Source organism: Homo sapiens, chromosome 17 (genome assembly GCF_000001405.40).
Source record: "Homo sapiens chromosome 17, GRCh38.p14 Primary Assembly".
NCBI classification, from domain to species: domain Eukaryota; kingdom Metazoa; phylum Chordata; class Mammalia; order Primates; family Hominidae; genus Homo; species Homo sapiens.
Genome location: NC_000017.11, coordinates 5312105 through 5334953, shown reverse-complemented (window position 1 = coordinate 5334953; position 22849 = coordinate 5312105). Strand labels below are relative to the sequence as shown.

The 22849-nt window shown below is 40.3% G+C and overlaps 1 protein-coding gene across 7 annotated transcripts in view; it reads right to left on the bottom strand.

Annotated features, from left to right (window-relative positions):
• RABEP1 (rabaptin, RAB GTPase binding effector protein 1) overlaps nt 1-22849 on the bottom strand; it is a 104057-nt gene that overhangs the window by 51387 nt on the left and 29821 nt on the right. For all 7 annotated transcript variants that reach the window (XM_047437039.1, XM_047437038.1, XM_011524060.3 and 4 more), the window contains one exon: nt 2802-3005. In XM_047437039.1, coding sequence (XP_047292995.1) covers nt 2802-2916 — 115 coding nt within the window. In that variant the 5' untranslated portion in view covers nt 2917-3005. The remainder of the gene's footprint in view (nt 1-2801; nt 3006-22849) is intronic.

Below are 22849 nucleotides of genomic sequence, written 5' to 3'. Positions count from 1 at the left end.
AGGAGAAAACCTTAGGAAAGATTAAATAGTCTGGCCAATGTTTCATGCCCAGAATGAAGCAAAGCTAGAATTCGAACTTAAGGCCAACTCCAAAATCTATGTTCTTAGACACTATACTATGGCTCCCAAGGCAAATATAACATGTCGCCCCAATCCCACTACCTGAAAGTATACGAAAAGGGATATATTTCTGGAATAGTTTACCAGAACCCAAGATTGTAAGTTGAGGCAAACTCTATAAGGTCTTTAAAAAAATCGCTTTCTCTTTAATATAATCTTAAAACGTGGCCGGGCATAGTGGCTCACACACACCTGTAACCCTAGCACTGTGGGAGGCAGACGGGCAGATCACTTGAAGCCAGGATTTCAAGACAAGCCTGGCCGACATGGCAAAACCCCATCTCTACCAAAGATAGAAAAATTGCCGGGTGTGGTGGCTCATGCCTGTAATCCCAGCACTTTGGGAGGCCGAGGCGGGTGGATCACCTGAGGTCAGGAGTTCGAGACCAGCCTGACCAACAAGGTGAAACCCCATCTCTACTAAAAATACAAAAATTAGCTGGGCGTGGTGACAGGCACCTGTAGTCCCAGCTACTCGGAAGGCTGAGGCAGGAGAATCACGTGAACCCGGGAGGCAGAGGTTGCAGTGAGCCGAGATCATGCCACCGCACTCCAGCCTGGGTGACAGAGTGAGACTCTGTCTCAAAAAAAAGAGAAGGAAAGGGGAAGGGAAAGGGAAAAAAAAGAAAAGATTATTTGGGTGTGATGTCGCCATGTCTGTGGTCCCAGCTACTTGGAAGGCAGAGGCACGAAAATTGCCTGAACCCAGGAGGCGGAGGTTGCAGTGAGCCAAGATCACACCACTGCACTCAAGCCTAAGTATCTCAAAAAAAAAAAAAAAAACCACTAGGTAACAGACCCTGTTGATTGCCCATTAATTTCCACTCCTTCTTCCTTACCAGTAAGACTCCAATTTTGTTTAGGAAATCAATGTGCGCAATTTTAAAACTACATTGTCCAGTTTCCCTTGTAGTTATGAGTGACCACACACTTGGTCAACAAAGCGAAAGGGATATGCTGGGTACTTCTAGAAAATTTTTGCTTTTCTGATGCAGACTGAAGGAGAAGCAGCTATTTTTCAGCTGAGGCAAAGATTAAGTTGAAAACCATATGCTAAGGATGAAAGAACAGAAGGGCTGAAGGAGTTTGAGGCATTGTTGACATCATGGAACCAATACAAAACCAGGCCTAGATTATCTACCTTTGGATTTCGTGTTCTGGGAGAAAAAGGAACTCCTAATTTGGTAAGCCACTGTAGTTGGGTTTGTTATATGAAGCCTAGAGTAATCTCTAGGCCATAGCTATACACTCAGAAATAGGGCTAGCCTCACCTGCCTTTTTATAAAGAGCACTAAGGCAAAAAGTGATACACAATTGCAAACACGGTGGAAAAAGTCATCACTATTTCACATTTAGAATATTAACTAATCTGGGCCAAGCATGGTGGCTCACACCTGTAATCCCAGCACTTTGGGAGGCCGAGGCGGGCAGATCACGAGGTCAGGAGATCGAGACCATCCTGGCTAACATGGTGAAACCCAGTCTCTACTAAAAATACAAAAAATTAGCCGGGCGTGGTGGCGGGCGCCTGTAGTCCCAGCTACTTGAGAGACTGAGGCAGGAGAATCGCTTGAACCTGGAAGGCGGAGGTTGCACTGAACCGAGATGGTGCCGCTGCACTCCAGCCTGGGCAACAGAGTGAGACTCCATCTCAAAAAGTAAAAAATAAAATAGAATATTAACTAATTCCAGGAACTCAAAGATTCAGTGACCACTTACTTTGTTTCATCATCATCTTCTCAGAAATTTGGGAAGTAATTCAGCACTAGTGCCAAAAGGAGTCTGAGACTAAACTACGTCTCTTCTTTTAGACGAAAGGTCATAAGCTGGCAGCCCATGAAGCCTACCTTAGCCCATAGGCCATTCTACCCAACAGAGTGCAGTGAAGATTTCACATACAAAGTTTCTTAAAAAATCTAAACCAGGCCAGGCGCTGTGGCTCACACATGTAATCCCAGGACTTTGGGAGGCCGAGGCAGGTGGATCACCTGAGGTCTCAGGAGTTCAAGACCAGCCTGACCAACATGGCGAAATCCCGTCTCTACTAAAAATACAAAATTAGCTGGGCGTGGTGGCACATGCTTGTAATCCCAGCTACTCGGGAGGCTGAGGCAGGAGAATCGCTTGAGCCCGGGAGGCAGAGGTTGCAGCGAGTACAGTGAGCTGAGACTGCGCCACTGCACTCCAAGCTGGACAACAGAGCGAGATTCCATCTCAAAAAAAAAAAAAAAAAAAAATTCTAAAACGTATGGCCAAACTACACTGGAAGGGCAATAATTAGCTGAAGCTCATCAATGTAAACAGTTACTTTACCCTTTGCATGGCAGCTCTCTCTACTCCAGCACATTCCCTGTGCCCATACAGCTTAATTATTTGAGATTACTAGCCTGCCTCCTAGAAGAAATCGACTTTTAAGCCTTACAATGAACTATAGTCCTCATTTAATGCATTATCTCTATAACATCCCTATTATAACTCTCCATTATTAAGTTAGATACGATTGATATATCCATTTATGTTATTAGTGACTTCTCTTTTATCTGAAAGTATATCTTGATGATGACAGTACATAAAACCACAAATGAAACTCTGTATATATTTTAAGATTCTCTGAAAATATTCTCAATCATCAGAATCGGATATCTTAGAAAATCACAAAATTGATCTTTCTCTGTCTTTACCTTTCATAACAGCCTGAAGTGAAGCAACTTCTTCTCTCCACTGTCTTTTCACTTCATCTATAGCTTCTTGCTTGGTGTTCTCAGAGACTGTGGCAATCGCCTTAATATTCTCCATCTCTGCTTGAGCTTCCCACAGCTGGGTTCGAAGGTGTCCCAAATCATCTTGTGCAGCTTGTAATACTGCATTTTGCCTCTTCAGATCCTCTGGAGAGAAAAGTAAAAGATAGTCCATTAATGTTCACTTTGATCAGACTGGCATTCCAATAAAGAAATAAGGTATTAAATTTTAAAATATAAACATACAAAATGACACCCTTTTAATAGAGGTGAGATTTAAGGTAAGCTGGGTATCACAAATCAATTGTTACTATCTATCTAATGATCCAGTAGTTACAGTCATGGTTTTAGAGCTCAATTTACGCATTCCCGTCTGCTGACTAAATGAACTTGGTCATGTTATTTAATCTCTCTGGCCTAAGTTTCCACATCTGCAAAATGGAAGTTAAAAACAGCCACCTCACAAGGTTGTTGTAATGATAATTTATTGGAAACGCTAATTAGTACATTACCTTCCACAAACATTCAAAAAATGTTTAATAAAAGAGAAAAGAAAGCCAGAGCACATGGCAGTGACTAGACGTATGTTCTTTAAAGTTAGCATTAATTTCTCGGCTCCCTCTTACCATCTTTTAAATACTAAGTTGATGTAATGTGCCTACTACATGGTTTAAGCCCAGGCAGAACATATGTTTGGCCAAACTAACTTCAAAAAAAAGATGAACTTATCAACAGTATACAGGGATGTGTGATTGTTTTCCCATACCCTTAACAACAGTCACTATTTTCCATCTTTTAAAAATTCTTGTAAATATCATGGGTAGCAAATGGTCACTTTAATCTACATTTTCCCTGTTAATAAGGAGTTTGAGCATCTTCTCATATATGTACTAGTGACTCATTTCCTCTTTGGTGACATTCTTTACATTTGCTTCTAATGAATGATTTTCCTTCTGATCTGTAAGAGCATTTTATATATTCTGGATATTAAGTCTGTCTTCTCTTACAAAACTTTTCCCAGTCAGCCGCTGTGTTTCTTTAAAAAAAAAAAAAAAAAAAAAAAAAAAAGTTAAGAGATAGGGTCTCAATTGTCGCACAGGCTGGAGTGCAGTGACGCAAACATAGACCACTATAACCTCAAATTCCTGGGCTCAAGCGATCCCCCCACCTCAGCCTCCTGAGTAGCTAGGACTGCAGGCATGCACCATCACGCCCGGCTAATTTTTGAAATTTCTTGTAGAGACAAAGTTTCACTACGCTGCCCAGGCTGGTCTTGGCCTCCTGGGCTGAAATGATCCTCCCGCCTCAGCCTCCCAAAGCGTTGGGATTACAGGTGTGAGCCACCGCGCCCGGCCTTAACTTACGCCTTTTAGCATCTAAAGTTGTAAGGTATTTATGAAAAAAAAAATTCTTCATCTTTGTAAAAGTATCAATTTCCTCTCCAAAGCACAATAACTGAGCCAAACTGACCATGAAAATAAACTGATTTAAGGTCTAATTCTACCGCTAACCAGCTGTATGACTTTAAGGAAATCACAAGATTCTCAAGCCTCAGTTTCCTCATGAAGACAGTGGCAATACTTTCTTGCATAAATTTCTAACTACTTATAAAAATCCAATAGTAAAATAAGAGAACTTTTAAACGTTGTGAAATGTTCATTGTTATCACAGGAGTTAATGATTTGGTAGTCAAAGTCACAGAGGGAAACACCTAGTCATGCTAAGTTGTTTTGAAATCTTTACTCTCTCAACATCAGTTTCCATCACTCTTAAAATATTTTGAATCTCTAGCCAAAGACAGTTTTAAGAACATTAATTAAAAAAGTAATTGTGTGAAGTCCCTTAAAGACAGACACCTGGGAAGTTGTGGTAGGCATGCAAATAGACAGACCCAGAAAGATGTAAACACGTGAAACCACAAAGGAAAAGTTTATGTGTGTCAACTCTGTATTCTGAGTGTTAAACTGTTTCATAAAATGTGAAAAAAGAAAAAGCATTATTTCTGGGATACTTTATTCATTTTTGGGTACTACAATTTTATCAAGGCTCAAGTTTATACACTTAACAGGTCCTCATGCTAATTACCTCTGGTACTTTTGATTTGCTGGAGATTACCCAGAGCTATTCACTACCATGTTGTCATTATGAACAGAAAAACTGTAAACAAATACCAAGCCTAAATATCCATTTTTGGCACTTAAAAGTGAAATAGAGAGCCTGGAGGAAGACTTGGTCAACAGTAACTTTAGTTATATATATATATATATATATATATATGAACATATATATGAATGTTATATTTATATATATAAATACAAAAAAACAGGAGACAGAAATTTAAAATAAAGTTAGAAAATCTTAATTTTTTGTAGTAAAGCATTTCAAACATTATGTTTGCCAACAGTAGGAGTTCTAACATTCGTTTATTGCTTTTACTGCTGTATATGTAATTATTAAGATTTTCAAACATATTCAAAAGTTGAGGGTATACTACAACAATCCTTCATATAGCTTTCACCAAGACTCAAAAGGTATTAAGATTTGCCATGCTTATTTATTTTTTTGAGACGGAGTCTCGCTCTTGTTGCCCAGGCTAGAGTGCAGTGGCACGATCTTGGCTCACTGCAACCTCTGCCTCCCGGGTTCAACAGATTGTCCTGCTTCAGCCTCCCAAGTAGCTGGGATTACAGGCGCGTGCCACCACGCCCAGCTAATTTTTGTATTTTTTAGTAGAGACGGGGTTTCGCCTTGTTGGCCAGGCTTGTCTTGAACTCCTGACCTCAGGTGATCGCCCGCCTCAGCCTCCCAAAGTGCTAGGATTACAGGCGTGAGCCACCACACCCAGCCTGCCATGCTTATTTAAACTATCCTTTTTCTTTCCTGTAGTATTTTAAAGCAAGCCCCAGAAATACTACATTATCTAACGTACTGTACAGATGCATCTCTAAAAATATGGACAGTTTCTTATATAAACAAAGTACCACTGTCACACAAAACAAAATTAACAACTGCCTGATAACTAATACCAAATCTCTGGTAAAACTTCTCCAATTGACAAAAAAAAAAAAAAAAAAAAGTCTTTCTGAATATTTGTTTAAATTAAGATCAAAACAAGATTCAAGTACTTCATTTGGTTATACTAATAATTTATTTTTTTTTTTTTGAGACAGTCTCACTCTGTCGCCCAGGCTGGAGTGCAGTGGCGCAACCTCTGCCGCCCAGGTTCAAGTGATTCTCCTGCCTCAGCCTCCCGAGTAGCTGAGATTACAGGCGCCTGCCACTGCGCCTGGCGAATTTTTGTAGTTTTAGTAGAGACAGGGTTTCACCATCTTGGCCTGGCTGGTCTTGAACTCCTGACCTCGTGATCCACCTGCCTCGGCCTCCCAAAGTGCTGGGATTACAGGCGTGAGCCACTGCGCCCGGCTTTTTTTTTTTTTTTTTTTTTTTTTTAACACAGCGTCTCACTCTATCGCCCAGGCTAGAGTGCAGTGGTGCGACCTCAGCTCACTGCAATCTCTGCCTCCCAGGCTGAAGTGATCCTCTCACCTCAGCTTCCCACGTAGCTGGGACTATAGGCACATGCCAATACACCCAGCTAATTTTTGTATTTTTTTGTAGAGAGGGAGTTTTGTCATGCTGCCCAGGCTAGTCTCCAACTCCTAGGCTCAAGTGATCTGCCCACCTCAGCCTCCCAAAGTGCTGGGATTACAGGCATGAGCTACTACGCCTGGCCTATACTAATGCTATAAAGCATTATAAACTACTTCAAGCATAGAAACAATATAAAAAATCCTATAATGGGCACCTATTACCTATCACCTAGATCCATCATTTTTAATATTTTGCTACATCTCCTTCCATTTCTTTTTAACTTCAGGAAACAAAACATCACAAATACACTACCTTCCTCTGAGGTAACAACTGTCAGGAATTTGGGTTTATCATTACAGTGCGTATATGTTACATCTTTACTTACGTCGCAGGTTTTGAAACCTTAATGTTCTTTTGCAGTTACTTCTTAGCCCTCAACATTGTTGACTGTTGATAACTACTTCACTCATTAATTAGAATATCACAGTCTCAATATATCATATATTATGTTCACAGGTATCAGGTGTGAAACTGAAACCTGCTTTATCTGTATAGACGTTCTCATTGTCCTATGCCCATTGTCCCAGTCTTTTCCCATTTTGACAATGTCATCTTTGTCATATTTCAAATTTTCACATTTGTGAGGGTCCCATTTGGGGAACTCTGTTCTATAAAAATTGTCTATTTTCATGCCAATACTTTATATACTGTCTAACATAGCTTTATACTGTTTTGCCTACTTTTGTCTATTTTTAAATGTTTACATAAGAAAAAGTTTAACAAAAAGGTAATGATCATTTTGAGTAAGTGGGGAAATTTGCCCTACCAGATACCAAAAATTATTATAAAATTCATGTATGCACCAGCCAGCTCCAGTAACCATACACTCATGGCAAATCATCCCCAATCCATCCATATGCACTCCATATATACTGTGAGACAAATCTCAGACACATAGTCACATGCAAAATAATCACGTTTTAGTCAACAACAAAAAACATACACAACAGTGGTTACATGAGATTATAGGGGCTGAAAAATTCTTACTGCCTAGTGACATCTAGCCATGGTAACATCATACTGCCAAACATCTTGTCTATGTTTAGCTATGTTGCTTTTTGGGTTTTGTTTGTTTTTTGGGGTTTTTTTTTTTTTTTGAGACAGAATCTCACTCTGTCTCCCAGGCTGGAATGCAGTGGCATGATCTCGGCTCACTGCAACCTCCAACTCCCAAGTTCAAGCGATTCTCCTGCCTCAGTCTCCCAAGTAGCTGGGATTACAGGCATGTGCCACCACACCCTGCTAATTTTTGTATTTTGGGTAAAGACGGAGTGTCGCCATGTTGGCCAGGCTGATCTCGAACTCCTGACCTCAGGTGATCCGCCCACCTCGGCCTCCCAAAGTGCTGGGATTACAGGCGTGAGCCACCGTGCCCAGCCTGTTTAGCTATGTTTAATACAAAAATATCACTGTGTTGTAACTGCTTACAGCATTCAGTACAGTAACGTGCTGTACAGCTTTTCAGTTTAGTAGCAATAGGCTATACCATGTAGCCTACATGTGTAGTAGGCTATATAACATCTAGGTTTTTGTCAGTACATTCCGCGTTCGCACAAGGACAAAATCACCAAACGATGCATTTCTGAGAATGTATCGCCATCACGAAGCAATGCATAACTGTATTTTCTTATTTTTTTAATAAACGTTTTAGCAGTTTCAGGTTCTCAGCAAAATTGAGCAGAAAATACAGAGGTTTCCCATATGCCCCACACCCCTGTACATCCACACTCCTCTACTACAGGCACCCTGTACCACAGTGGCACATTTGATACAACTGATGAACCCACACTGGCACACTATCATCACCCACTTCGTTTACACTAGGGTTCACTCTTAAATGTGCTACATTCTATGGGTTTTAACAAATGTGTAACGACATGTTCCCACCACCACAGTATCATATAAAATAGTTTCACTGCTCTAAAAATTCTCTGTACTCTACATATTCACCCCCTCTTCCTCCTACCCCTGGCAACCACTGATCTTTTTTTTGTTTCCACAGTTTTGCTTCTTCTAGAATGTCATATGCTTGGAATCATACAGTATATGGCCTTTTCAAATTGCCTTCTTTCACTTAGTAGTTTGCATTAACATTCCTCCATGTCTGTTCATGACTTAATAGCTCATTCCTTTTTAGCATGGAATAATATTCCACTGTCTCAATATACCAGTGTATTCATCCATTAACCTATTGAAGGACATCTTCCATGCTTCGAAGTTGTGACAATTATGAATAAAGCTGTTATAAATATATTTGTGCAAGTTTTGGGACAAAGCTTCTCAAGTCATTTAATTGCATACCAAGGAGCATGACTGCTGAATCAAAAGGCAAGAGTATGCCTAGTTTTGTAAGAAAGCACTAAACTTACATCCCAAAGTGGCTACGTCATTTTGCATTCCCACCAGCAATGAATGCTGCTGTTGCTCCACATCCTCACCAGCATTTTTTGGTATCGGCAGTATTTTGGATTTAGGCCATTCTCACAGTCTAATAATCTTTTCATATACTTACTTGCCGTCTGTATAGACTCTTTAGTGAGGTGTTTGGGTCTTCTGCCCATTTGGTAATGTGGCTGTTCATTTTGTTACTGTTGCATTTTATTTTTATTGATGCACATGTACATAGTTAAAGTACATGTGATAATACATTAATGTAACTTGTAAAAATCAAACTGGGTGTAGTTCGGGTATCTATCACCCTAAATATTTGTCGGTTTTTTTTTTCTTTCATCCCATGGACACCAAGGGTTGTCTTTTCTTTATGCTAGAACCATTCGAATTCTTCTATTTTGAAATCTAGAATAGATTACTGTAAACAAGAGTCACCCTATTGATCTGTTTAACACTAGGTCTTATTTCTTCTATCAAACCACATACTCATACCCATTAATCAACTTCTCTTCATCTCCCCAGACCCCCGCTTTCCCTGACCTTCGTACCACCAATCTAGTCTATCTTCTCATGAGATCCACTTTTTTAGCCTCCACAAGTGAGACCATGTGATACTTGTCTTTCAGTGCTTGGCTTATTTCATTTAACATAATGACTTCCAGTTCCATCCATGTTGCTGCAAATGACAGGATTTCATTCTTTCCTTTTTTTTTTGGACGGAGTTTTGCTCTTGTTGCCCAGGTTGGAGTGCAGTGAGTGGCACGATCTTGGCTCACTGCAACCTCCACCTCCCGGGTTCAAGCGATTCTCCTGCCTCAGCTTCCCAAGTAGCTGGGATTACACGCAGGCACCACTACGCCTAGATAATTTTTGGGTTTTTTTTTGGTTTGTTTTTGCTTTTTTAGTAGAGACGGGGTTTCACCATGTTGCCCAGGCTGGTCTCGAACTCCTGAGCTCAGGCAATCCACCTGCCTTGGCCTCCCAAAGTGCTAGGATTATAGGCATGAGCCACCATGCCCAGCGATTTCATTTCTTTTGGATATATACCCAATAGTGGAATTGCTGGATCATATGGCAACTCTTATTTTAGTCTTTTGAGGAACCTCCATACTATTCTCCACAGTGGCTGTACTAACTTACATTCCCACCATCAGTGGATGAATGCCTGTCTTTTTGATAAAAGCAATTTTGACTGTGGTGACAGGATATCCCATTGTAGTTTTGCTTTGCATTTCTCTAATGATTAGTGATGTTGAGCATCTTTTCACATACCTCTTGGCCATTTACGTCTTTTGAAAAATGCCTATTTGAATCTTTTGTGTTTAAATAAGATTTGCTTCTTTAACAAATCTTCTTCATACATTGTAGTTATTAATCCCTTATGAGATGGGTAGTTTGCAAATATTTTCTCCCATTCTGTAGCTTGTCTCTTCACTTTGTTTCCCTTATTGTGCAGAGGCTTCTTAGCCTGATGCAATCCCATTTGTCTATTTTTGCCTATGCTTTTGAGGTCTTACACACACACAAATCTTTGCTCAGACCAATGTCTGTTTCCCAAGTGTTTTCCTCTAGTGGCTTCATAGTTTCAGGTCTTAGATTTAAGTCTTTAATCTACTTTGATTGTTGTGTATATATGGAGAGAGATGGGGCCTAATTTCATTCTTCTGCAAATGGTTACCCAGTCATCCTACCACCATTTATTGAAGAGACTTTCCTTTTCTCATTGAATATTCTTGGTGCCTTTGTTGCAGATGAGTTGACTGCAAAATGCATGGATTTGTTTCTGGGTACTCTATTCTGTTCCATTAGTCTACGTGTCAGTTTTTATGCCAGTGCCATGCTGATTGGGTTACTATAGCTTTGTAGTAAATTTTAATGTTATATAGTGTGATTCCTCCAGCTTTGTTACCTTTGCTAAGTATAGCTTTGGCTATACAGGGTATTTCACAGTTCCATATAAATTTTAAGATTTTTCTGTTTCTGTGAAAAATGTCATTGGTATTTTGATAGGATTTGTATTGAATCTGTAAATTGCTTTGGATAGTATTGTCATTTCAACAATATTAATTCTCCTAAATCCATGACCACGGACCATCTTTCCATTTGTATGTGTGTCCTCTTCAATTTCTTTCATTGGTGTTTTACAGATCTTTCGCTTCTTTGGTTAAATTGATTCCTAGATATATATATATATTCCTAGATATATATATATATTCCTAGATATATATATATATTCCTAGATATATATATATATTCCTAGATATATATATATATTCCTAGATATATATATATATTCCTAGATATATATATATTCCTAGATATATATATATTCCTAGATATATATATATATTCCTAGAGAGAGATATATATATATATCACCAATGAAAGAAATTGAAGAGGACACACATACAAATGGAAAGATGGTCTGTGTTGTGTGTGTATGTGTGTGTTTTGTAGCCATTGTAAATGAGATTGCTTTGATTTCTTTTTCAGGCTGTTCACTGTTGGTATATATTAATGCTAATGATTTTTGTGTACTGATTTTGTGTCCTGTGATTTTACTAAAGTTATCAGTCAACAGTTTTTTGGTGGTGTCTTTAAGTTTTTCTAAATATAAGACTGTGTCATCTGTGAACAAGACAAACTTAACTTCATGCTTTCCAATTTGGATGCCCTTTATTTCTCTTGCCTAAGTGTTCTGGCTGCAATTTCCAATACTATATTAAATAAAACTGGCTGAAGTGGGCGTCCTTGTTCCAGATCTCAGAGGAAAGGCCTTCAACTCTTCCCCATCCAGTATGATGCTAGTTGTGGGTTTGTCATGTATGGATGGCCTTCATTATTTTGAGGTATGTTCCTTCGACACACAATTTGATGAGGGTTTGTATCATAAAGAGGTGCTGAATTTTACTGAATGCTTGTGCAGCATCTATTGATATAACCATACAGTTTTTGTTGTTGTTGTTGTTTGTTTTTTTTGAGACAGTCTCTCACTCCATCACCCAGGCTGGAGTGCAGTGGCATAATCTCAACTCACTGCAACACCATCTCCCAGGTTCAAGCAATTCTCATGCCTCAGCCTCCAGAGTAGCTGGGATTGCAGGTGTGCACCACCATGCCCGGCTAATTTTTTGAATTTTTTGTAAAGACGGAGTTTCACCATGTTGGCCAGGCTGGTCTCAAACTCCTGGCCTCAAGTGATCCACCCGCCTCGGCCTCCCAAAGTGTTGGGATTACAGGCATGAGCCACTGCACCTGGCCAACCATATGGCTTTTGTTCTTGGTTATGTTAATGTGATGTATCACATTTCTTTATTTGTGTATATCGAACCATCCTTGCCTCCTCAGGAGTAATCTACTTGATCGTGGTGGCTGATCTTTTTAATATGTTGTTGAATTCAGCTTGCTAGTATTTTTTTCAAGGATTTCCGTATCTACTGTGTAGTTTAATTCTGATGTCTCTTTGTTGATTTGCTGCCTGGATAATCTGTCCATTACTAAGAGTGGAGTGACAAAGTCCTCTATTATTGTATTGCAGTCTCTCTCACCCATCAGATTGGCTAATTGTTTTATATGTACTTGGAAGTACCAGTGTTAGGTGCATAGATATTTATAATTGTCCTCTTGCTGAATTGACCCCTTTATTATTATATGACCCTTTTTTCCTCTTTTTACGGTCTTTTCTTTTTTTTCTTTTGAGACAGTTTCACTGTCACCCAGACTTGGCATGCAGAGTGGCACAATCATAGCTCACTGCAACCTCAAACTCCTGGGCTCAAGGAATTCTCCCACCTCAGCCTCCCAAGTAGCTGGGACTACAAGCATGTACCACCATGCCTGGCTAATTTTTTTTGAGATGGAGTTTCACTTCTGTTGCCCAGGCTGGAGTGCAATGGCGCAATCTCAGCTCACTGCAACCTCCGCCCTCTGGGTTCAAGCGGTTCTCCTGCCTCAGCCTCCCAAGTAGCTGCGATTACAGGCACCCACCTCCATGCCAGGCTAGTTTTTTGTATTTCTAGTAGAGATGGGGTTTCACCATGTTGGCCAGGCTGGTCTTGAATGCCTGACCTCAGGTGATCCACCCGCCCTGGCCTCCCAAAGTGCTGGGATTAGAGGCGTGAGCCACCGCACCCAGCTTCCTGGCTAATTTTTAAATTTTAAATTTTGTTTTAGAGACAGGGTTGCCCAGGCTAATCACAAACTCCTGGCTTCAAGTGATCTCAACTAGGCCTCCCAAAGCAATGAGATTACAGGTATAAGCCACTGCACCTAGCTGTTCTTAAGTCTTAGATTTGTAGTCTATTTTAATCTGACGTAGGTGTACTTACTTACTCCTGCTCTTTTTTGGTTTCCAGTTGCATGAAATATCCTTTACTAGCTCTTCACTTTCATTTTATGTGTATCTTTACAGGTAAAGTGGGTTTCTTTCTTGGGTTATTTTTTTGAGACATGGTCATGCTCTGCTACCCAGGCTGGAGTGCAGAGGCACAAATACGGCTCACTGCAGCCTCAACCTCTCAGGCTCAAACAACTCTCCTGCCTCAGCCTACTGTGTATCTGGGACCACAGGCACATGCCAGCATGCCCAGCTAATTTTTGCTTTGTTCGTTTGAGATAGGGTCTTGCTCTGTCACCCAGGCTGGAGTGCTGTGGCACAATCACAGCTCGCTGCAGCCTTGACTTCCTGGGCTTAAACGATCCTCTCACCTCAGGCTTCCAAGTAGCTGGGACTACAGGCACATGCCACCACATCTGGCTAATTTTTGTATTTTTTAGTAGAGATGGGGTCTCAGTTTGTTGCCCAGGCTGGTCTCCATCTCCTGGGCTCAAGCAATCCTCCCACCCTGGCCTCCCAAAGTGCTGGGATTACAGGTGTGAGCCACTGCACTCAGCCAGTTTTATTTTTTGTAGAGCCAGGGTCTCACTTTGCTGCCCAGGCTGGCCTCAAACTCCTGGGCTCAAGTGATCCTCCCACCTCAACCTCCCAAAATATTGGGATTACAGGCATGAGCCACTGCACCCAGCCAAAGTGGGTTTCTTGTAGGCAGTATATAGTTGGGGCTTGTTTCTTTAACCATTCAGCCACTCAGGCTTTAAATTGGAGAACTGAGTCCATATACATTCAGTGTTGTTATTATCTATAAGAAAGGACTTACTACTGCCATTTTATTGCTTGTTTTCTGGTTGTTTTGTAACTCCTCTCTTCTTTCTGTCTTTGGGGCTAAGTGATTTTTTCTGGTAGTATGTCTTAATTCATTGCTTTTTATTTTTAGTCAATCTATTATAGGTTTTTGTTTTGTGTTTATCACAAGGCTTACAAAAAACATCTTGTAGATAACAAGTTACTTTAAAGACAACTTATCTTAAAAAATAGAAACAAAGAAATAAGTGGGAAAAAAACTTCTACAACTTAGCTCCACTTTCCCCACATTTTGAATTTAGTTGTCTCAACTTACATGTATCTACATTACCTATCTCTGAATAGGCTGCCATAGCTATTACTATTCTTGGTAGATTTGTCTTTTGGGCTTTATACTAGAGTTATCAACTGCAGTATTAAGAGTCTAACTCTGTCCATGTACTTAATTTTACCAGTGTGTTTCTTTTTCTTTTTTTTTTTTTTTTTTTTTTTGGTGTGTTAGCATTTTTTAAATTTCAAATGGAAGAACTCCCTTTAGCATTTCTTGTGGGATGGGTCTGGTAGTGGTCAATTCTCTCAAACTTCTGTCTGGGAAAGAATGTATCTCTCCTTCATATTTGAAGGATAACTTTGTTGGATATACAATTCTTAGATGTTAAATTTTTTTTTTCTTTCAGCACATTGAAGGTGTCATTCCACTCCTTCCTTACCTTTATGGTTTGTACTAAGAAGTCTGTTGACAAACTGACTGAAGCTCCATTAGGGTTATTTGCTACTTTTCTCTTGCTACTTTTAGGATCCTCTCTTTGTCCTTGACCACTGAGAGTTGGTTATTATATACCTTGGGGTGGTTTTATTTGGGACAAATCTCTTTGGTGTCCTCTGGCCTTCCTGCATGTGGATATTTATATCCTTCTCAAGTTTTGGAGAGTTTTCTGCTATTTCTTTGAATAAGCTTTCTACCCTTGCTCTTGCTCAACTCCCTCTTGAAGACCAACAATTCTTAGATTTGGTCTTTTGAAATAATTTTCTACATCCTGTAGGTCATCTTCACTGCTTTTTATTCTTTTTTGTCCTCTTTGTATTTTCAAACAGCCTGTCTTCAAGGTCACTGCTTCTTTCCTCTGCTTGATCCATTTTGCTACTGAGAGCCTCTGATGAATTTTCCAGTTGAGAAAATCTATTTATCAGTTCTAAGACTTCTGTTTAATTTTTTAATTATTTCAATATCCTTGTTAAATTTCTCTGGTAGGCTGGGTGTGGTAGCTCACGCCTGTAATCCCAACACTTTGGGAGGCCAAGGCAGGCAGATTGAGGTCAGGAGTTCGAGACCAGCATAGCCAACATGGTGAAACCCCATCTCTACTAAAAATACAAAAATCAGCCAGGTGTGGTGGCGGGCGCCTGTAATCCTAGCTACTTGGGAGACTGAGGCAGGAAAATCACTTGAACCTGGGAGGCAGAGGTTGCAGTGAGCCGAGATTGCGGCACTGCACTCCAGCCTGGGTGATGAAGTGAGACTCCACCTCAAAAAGGAAAAAAATATATATGTTTTTTTTTTTTGTTTTTTTGTTTTTTTTTTTTTTGAGACAGAGTCTCATTCTGTCACCAGGCTGGAGTGCAGTGGCATGATCTCAGCTCACTGCAATCTCTGCCTCTGGGCTCGAGCAATTCCCCTGCCTCAGCCTCCCTAGTAGCTGGGATTACAGGTGTGCACCACCACACCCGGTTAATTTTTTGTATTTTAGCAGAGACGGGGTTTCACCATGTTGGCCAGGATGGTCTGGAACCCCCGACCTCGTGATCCACCCACCTCGGCCTCCCAAAGTGCTGGGATTACAGGCATGAGCCACCACGCCCGGCCTAAACTTTTTAATTGAAAAATAGTAATTGTATATATGTATTGGGTACAAAGTGGTATTCTGATACATCTATACATTGTGAAATGATCAAATCAGTGCAATTAACATATCCATCACCTCAAATATGGTAAGTTACACATTGATTTTTGAATGTTGAACCAGTCTTGCGTACCTACACAAATGCCACGTGGCTGCAGTGTATAACTTTTATACATTGTTGGATTGGATTTGCTAAGATACTGTCAAGGAATCTTGCATCTATGTGCATGACAGATGTAAGTCTGTAGTTTTCATTAAATGTCTTTGTATGGTTTTGAGATTAGGATTATGCAGACCTCATAGAATGAGTTAGGAAGTATTCCCTCTGTTTCTATCTTCTGAAAGATTATAGAGAATAGAGACTCAGAGAGATTCGTATAACTCATGGTATAGTTTCTTCCTTAAATGGCAGATAGAACTCACCAGTAAACACAACTGGGCATAGTGCTTTCTTTTTTGGAAGGTTATTAATCATGAAGTTGTTCCATAATTTTCTTATATTATCCTTTTACTATATATGGGACCTAGAGTACAGTCTCCTCTTTCATTTCTGATACCAGTAATTTCTCGTTAGTAATCTTTTTTTACTTACATTGGCTTACTGTACTTTTTTGTAACAACTTCATTGAGATATAATTCACATACTACTTTTCGCCCACCAGTAACCAATCAGTAATTTTGATAGCATACTCCCATTGGGTGTCCTCTAATTTAATTCTGACACTATCTACCTGGAAATAACTCAGATCATACAAGCTGAAAATTCAGTCTAAGAAGACTGAAGTCCACTTCTGATATCAATTGTAAGCTTCAAAATTATTTTACCTGTGTTTCTCACTGACCAGCTATAAATCGAGGTTCCTACAACCATCTCCTTAGGTTTGATTAATTTGTTAATGGGCTCACAGAACTCAGGGAAACATTTATTTGCATTTACCAGTTTATTATAAAGACTATTACAAAGGATATAGAGAAAAAGGTGCACAGGACAAGGCACGTGGGAAGGAGCATGGAGCTTCTACGCCCTCTCTGGGGCACCACCCACCACGAACCTTCACATCTTCAGTTATCTGGAAGCTCTCCAAACCCTATCCTTTTTAGTTATTAGAGGCTTTATTACATGGACATGATTAAATGGCCACTAATGATCAACTTAACCTTTAGCTCCTCTCCTCTCCCTGGAGGTTGGGAGGTAGGGTTGGAAGTTCCAACCTCTAATCCTGTGTTGGTCTTTCTGGTGACCATCCCCTATCCTGAAATTACCTAGGGGCTGCCAGCCATCAGTCAGCTCATTAACAAAGACACCTATCACTTTAAAATTGTTAAGGCTTTTAAAAGTTATATGCCAGCAAACAGAAAACTACATATATATATATATATATATATCCTTTCCAGTATGGATTCCTTTCCTTTCCTTTTTCTTTCTTTCTTTGGGTAAGTGCCCTACATAGATCCTCACTTCTAGATGTTGAACAGAAGTGGTCAGAGTGTACATAATTGTCCTGTTTCTGATTTTAGGGGAAAGGCATTTGGTCTTTAAACATTAAGTGTGATGTTAGCTGTAAGTTTTTTGTAGAAGCCCATTTTCAGGTTGACAAAGTTCCCTTCTATTCCTATTTTAGTGTTTTTATCATGTAACAGTGTTAGGTTTTGTCAAATACTTTTTCTGTGTCTAGTAAGATGATCATGTGTCTCTGTTTTTTATCCTACTGATTTTCAGGTGTTGCACCAACCTTGCATTCCTGAGATGAATCCCACTTTTCATGCTGTGTGATTCTTTTTACCTGTAGCTTAATTTGATTTGCTAGTTCTTTTGTGAGAATTTTTGCATCTATATTCCCAAGTAATACTGGGCTAAGTTTCTTGTGATGTCTTCCTTGGTTTTGAGGTCAGGATAACACTAGCCTCAAAGAATAAGTGGGGATGTGTCTCCTCCAAAAATTAGCCAGGCATGGTAGCAGGTGCCCGTAATTCCAGCAACTCAGGAGGCTAGGGCAGGAGAATCGACTGAACCTGGGAAGCAGAGGTTGCAGTCAGCCGACATAGTGCCACAGCACGCCAGCCTGGGTGACAGAGCAAGACTTCATCTCAAAAGATAAACATTAAAAAAAAATTTTTAAATTTATCAATTTCTGTATTTTGTATTGTTTCTTATATTTTTTTTTTTTTTTTTTTTTTTTGAGACAGAGTCTTGCTCTGTCACCGAGGCTGGAGTGCAGTAGCGCGATCTCAGTTCACTGCAAACTCTGTCTCTTGGGTTCAGGCAATTCTCCTACCTCAGCCTCCCGAGTAGGTGGGATTACAAGCGCCTGCCACCACGCCCAGCTAATTTTTGCATTTCTAGTAGATACGGGGTTTCACCACGATGGCCAGGCTGATCTTGAACTCCTGACCTCATGCAATCCGCCCACCTTGGCCTCCCAAAGTGCTGGGATTATAGGCATGAGTCACCGTGCCCAGCCTATCCTATTTCTTACATCCTATATATTTCCTCTATGTTTTCTTTTTGCGAATGTCTATCACTCTACCAGCAGTTCTTTTTTTTTTTTTTTTTTTTTTTTTTGAGACAGAGTCTCACTCTGTCGCCCACGGTGGAATGCAGTGGCAAGATCTCGGCTCACTGCAACCTCCACCTCCCGGGTTCAAGCCATTCTCCTGCCTCAGCCTCCTGAGTAGCTGGGACTACGGCCCACACTGCCATGCCCAGCTAATTTTTTGTATTTTAGTAGACACACGGTTTCACCATGTTTCCCAGGCTGTTCTCAAACTCCTGAACTCAGGCAATCCGCCTGCCTCGGCCTCCCAAAGTGATAGGATTACAGGCATGAGCCACTGCAGCCGGCCTACTAGCAGTACTTTTAGTGATTATGTAGATGGCTAAGTGCTTAGTTTTTATATGCCTAAAATATCTATTTTGCCCTCACTCTTACATAATTTAGCAGCATATAAAATTTTAGGTTGACAATTATTTTTTCTCTGCACTTTGGAGATCTTATTTCATTGTCTTCTGGCATCTATGGTGTTTATGAAGTATCTCCTGTCATTGTAATTGTTTCTTTTCTCTGGTAGCTTTTCACATTTTCTTTTGATTCTTGATGTTCTATCTTACAAAAGATGTGTCAAGGTATGAATTTACTACTTTTTGTTTTGTTTTGTTTTTTGAGATGGAGTCTCACTCTGTGGCCCAGGCTGGAGTGCAGTGCTGCAATTTCAGCTCACTGCAACCTCCGCCTCCTAGGTTCAAGCAATTCTCCTGCCTCAGCCTCCCAAGTAGCAGGGATTACAGATGTGCACCACCATGCTCGGCTAGTTTTTTGTATTTTTAGTAGAGATGGGGTTTCATCATGTTGACCAGGCTGGTCTCAAACTCCTGACCTCAAGTGATCCACCCGCCTCAGCCTCCCAAAATGTTGGGATTACAGGCGTGAGCCACCATGCCCGGCCTGAATTTACTATTATTTTTCCTGTTTGGTACTCAGTATTTATGTTAAGGACTCACATTTTTTATTAGTAAAAATCTAAGTTATTATCTCTTCAAATATTCTTTACTATTCCTTCCATTCTCTTGCCCTGGAACTCTTTTCAGATGTGTGTTGAAGGCTCTTAATTCATCCTCTTTGTCTTTATATTCTTTCATATTTCCCTCTTTGTCTCACTAGGAGGAAGAACTCAGTACTGGTTTCTAATTTACTAAAACCTCTGTATCGTCTCTACTGGTTAAATCTATTAGCAAACACTATTTTAATTTCTAATCGTTTGTTTACAGTATTACTAATGGGTTTTGTTAATTTTATATACTCTGTTTTCATTTCCCTATCTAAGTGCAAGTTTATGGCACTGGAACCACAGATAGCTTCCTAAATCTAGCTTTTCACTATTGAAATTCTGATTAGTTAGCGTAACAGCTTTATATAAATTACAACCATGTATAAAGACCTTCTGAACACCAGTAGAAAATTTCAGTGTCCTCTGGTGATTAGCTATAAGCTCTATTCCTACTATTTTTCGTCAAATTGAAAACTATATGGCCTTTTGTTCTGTGTTTCACGTAACCGTCTCTTACTCATTGCCAACACTACAAATTTCCAAAGCACAAAACATAAACACTGCTGTAATGCCAAGCTCTGAAGTTAGTTTAGGAAAAGCTGAATCAGAAAATACTTCAACAGAAAAGCAATAAAACTTTCAGAAATATAGCCGGGCATGGTGGCTCACACCTGTAATCCCAGCACTTTGGGAAGCTGAAGTGGGCGGATCACAAGGTCAGGAGATCGAGACCATCATGGCTAACACGGTGAAACCCCGTCTCTACTAAAAATACAAAAAATTAGCCAGGCGTGGTGGCGGGCGCCTGTAGTCCCAGCTACTCGGGAGGCTGAGGGAGGAGAATGGCGTGAAGCCAGGAGGCGGAGCTTGCAGTGAGCCGAGATCGTGCCACTGCACTCCAGCCTGGGTGACAGAGCAAGACTCCATCTCAAAAAAAAAAAAAAAACTTTCAGAAATATTTATAACATTCCCAGTTGAAGTCGGCTTGGAAAAGAAGGGGTACTAAGACCAGCCTGGAAAACGTGGTGAAAGCCCAACTCTACTAAAAATACAAAAACTAGCTGGGCGTGGTGGCACCCGCCTGTAGTCCCAGCTACTTAGGAGGCTAAGGCAGGAGAATCACTTGAACCTGGGAGGCGGAGGCTGCAGTGAGCCAAGATCGTGCCACTGCACTCCAGCCTGGGCAACAGAGCAAAACTCCATCTCAAAAAAAAAAAAAAAAAAAAAAAAAAGAATAGGTACTAAGAAAAGAACAGGCAGTAAGAGAAGTAAAAAGGTGCATTTCTCATTACCATTTGCACTTATATTTCAGCTATTCTCCAAACAAGTGCAAACACAGCTATGACAACACTAAAGCAAAAGCTGGACCTATTGGGGAAAAACCAATGTTTGGACTTTCAGGGTTACCTTGACCTGGTTTTCCTGAAAGATAAAACAAAGACTGCTGTCCACATCAAAATCCTGGTTTATACTGTAAACACCTGTGGCAATCATTAAAGACTAGATTTAGACTTCACAGTAGATACAATAAAAGCTGCTGTCTCAGGGGAAATCTTCACATTTGATTTTTATTATGATATAGGCTAACGGCCAAGACAAAAACTAATAATCAGCATTGACCTTTTATATACTATGCATTTTCTTTAGGAACGCCACCAAAAACTCAAAAAGGATCACAGTATTTTTTTTGAAATTTTGTAAAAAGCTACCCCAACTGTTCGCTGTGGCCAACTGAGTTTACTGAGCGCTCTGGACAGTAAAGATACAACAGTACACAAAAAGCCCATTTACCGGGTTTAGATGCATCAATGCAATCTTAACAAACCAAGCATGTTTTCTGAACCAACCCATGTTACAAGCTCTTTAATTCACAGATCTAAAACTGCAGTTGATAATGCATTTCAGAAATGGGAGGTTCTTAGTCATTTTCATTTCTTCAGAGTTTTTGGGAAAATTCTATTTTATAATTTCAAAGAAAATAAGAAAACAAAGGAACCCTAACAGTTTTATTGGGGACAGAGAAAAAGAAAGCAAAACAAACAAGGTTTAGACAAGACTGACTTCAATTAGCTGTAGACAGGATGAACAAGCTACAGAGGTTTTGGTATAAGAGGTAAAGGAGAAAATGGATATCATTAGCCAGCATCATACTGCTGGGTTTCAACTTATCACCAGAGAAAATACTACCACAACCTTTTATATATACATCAAATGTATTACAGGTCATCTTGACAAGAATATAGCATTTCAGAGTTGACAGTGGTGCTTGATTAATTCAAAAACATGAACAAATTTTAAAAGGGAGACGATAAATTCATGTAAAGATACTGAATAACCAGATAGAACTTATTTCTCTTGAGACAGAGTCTCGCTCTGTCGACCAGGCTGGAGTGCAGTGGCGCGATCTTGGCTCACTGCAACTTCTGCCTCCTGGGTTCAAGCAATTCTCCTAACTGAGCTCCCCAAGTAGCTGGGACTACAGGCACACACCATCACCAGGCCCAGCTAATTTTTGTATTTTTAATACAGACAGGGTTTCACCATGTTGGCCAGGCCGGACTCTAACTCCTGACCTCAGGTGATCCACCCGCCTCAGCCTCTCAAACTGCTAGGATTACAGGCATGTGCGACCGTGCCTAGTCCAGACAGGACTATTTCTTGTGACACACAATACATCTTGAAATGATGATACTGTGCAAAATGTATTATCTACCACAGTAGACTATTCTTTCTTGGGAATAGAAACCATATATCTCATTCATCCCAACCTCCACAGTGTCTTGCAGAGTGCCACCATGACTAGACATGAACATCAGCTTTCCCACCTACTTACCAGCCTATAAAAGAAAATAAAAAACAGCCCTCCTGAAAGCCATGAAAAAATGGAACTCCATTCCATACCACAGTCAGTAATCCTTTCCAAGCCAGGGCTAAATTCTACAAGGCCTAAGAACCTTCCATCATATAGTATTTTACTATGGTTCATTGTCCTGTTGTATTAAAAACTCCTCTATGAGGCCAGGCACGGTGGCTCATGCCTGTAATCCCAGCAGTTTGGGAGGCTGAGGCGGGCAGATCATTTGAGGTTAGGAGTTCAAGATCAGCCTGGCCAACAGGGTGAAACCCTGTCTCTACTAAAAATACAAAAAAATTAGCCAGGTGTGGTGGCACACACCTGTAATCCCTGCTACTCGGGAGGCTAAGGCAGGAGAATCACTTGAACCGTGGGGCAGAGGTTGCAGTGAGCCAAGATTGTTGTGCCACTGCACTCCAGCCTGAGCGAAAAAGTGAGACTCTGCCTCACAGAGGGATAACTAAAATTAGTGTCAATAATTAAAAAGTGAATGACTAATAACAGTGTA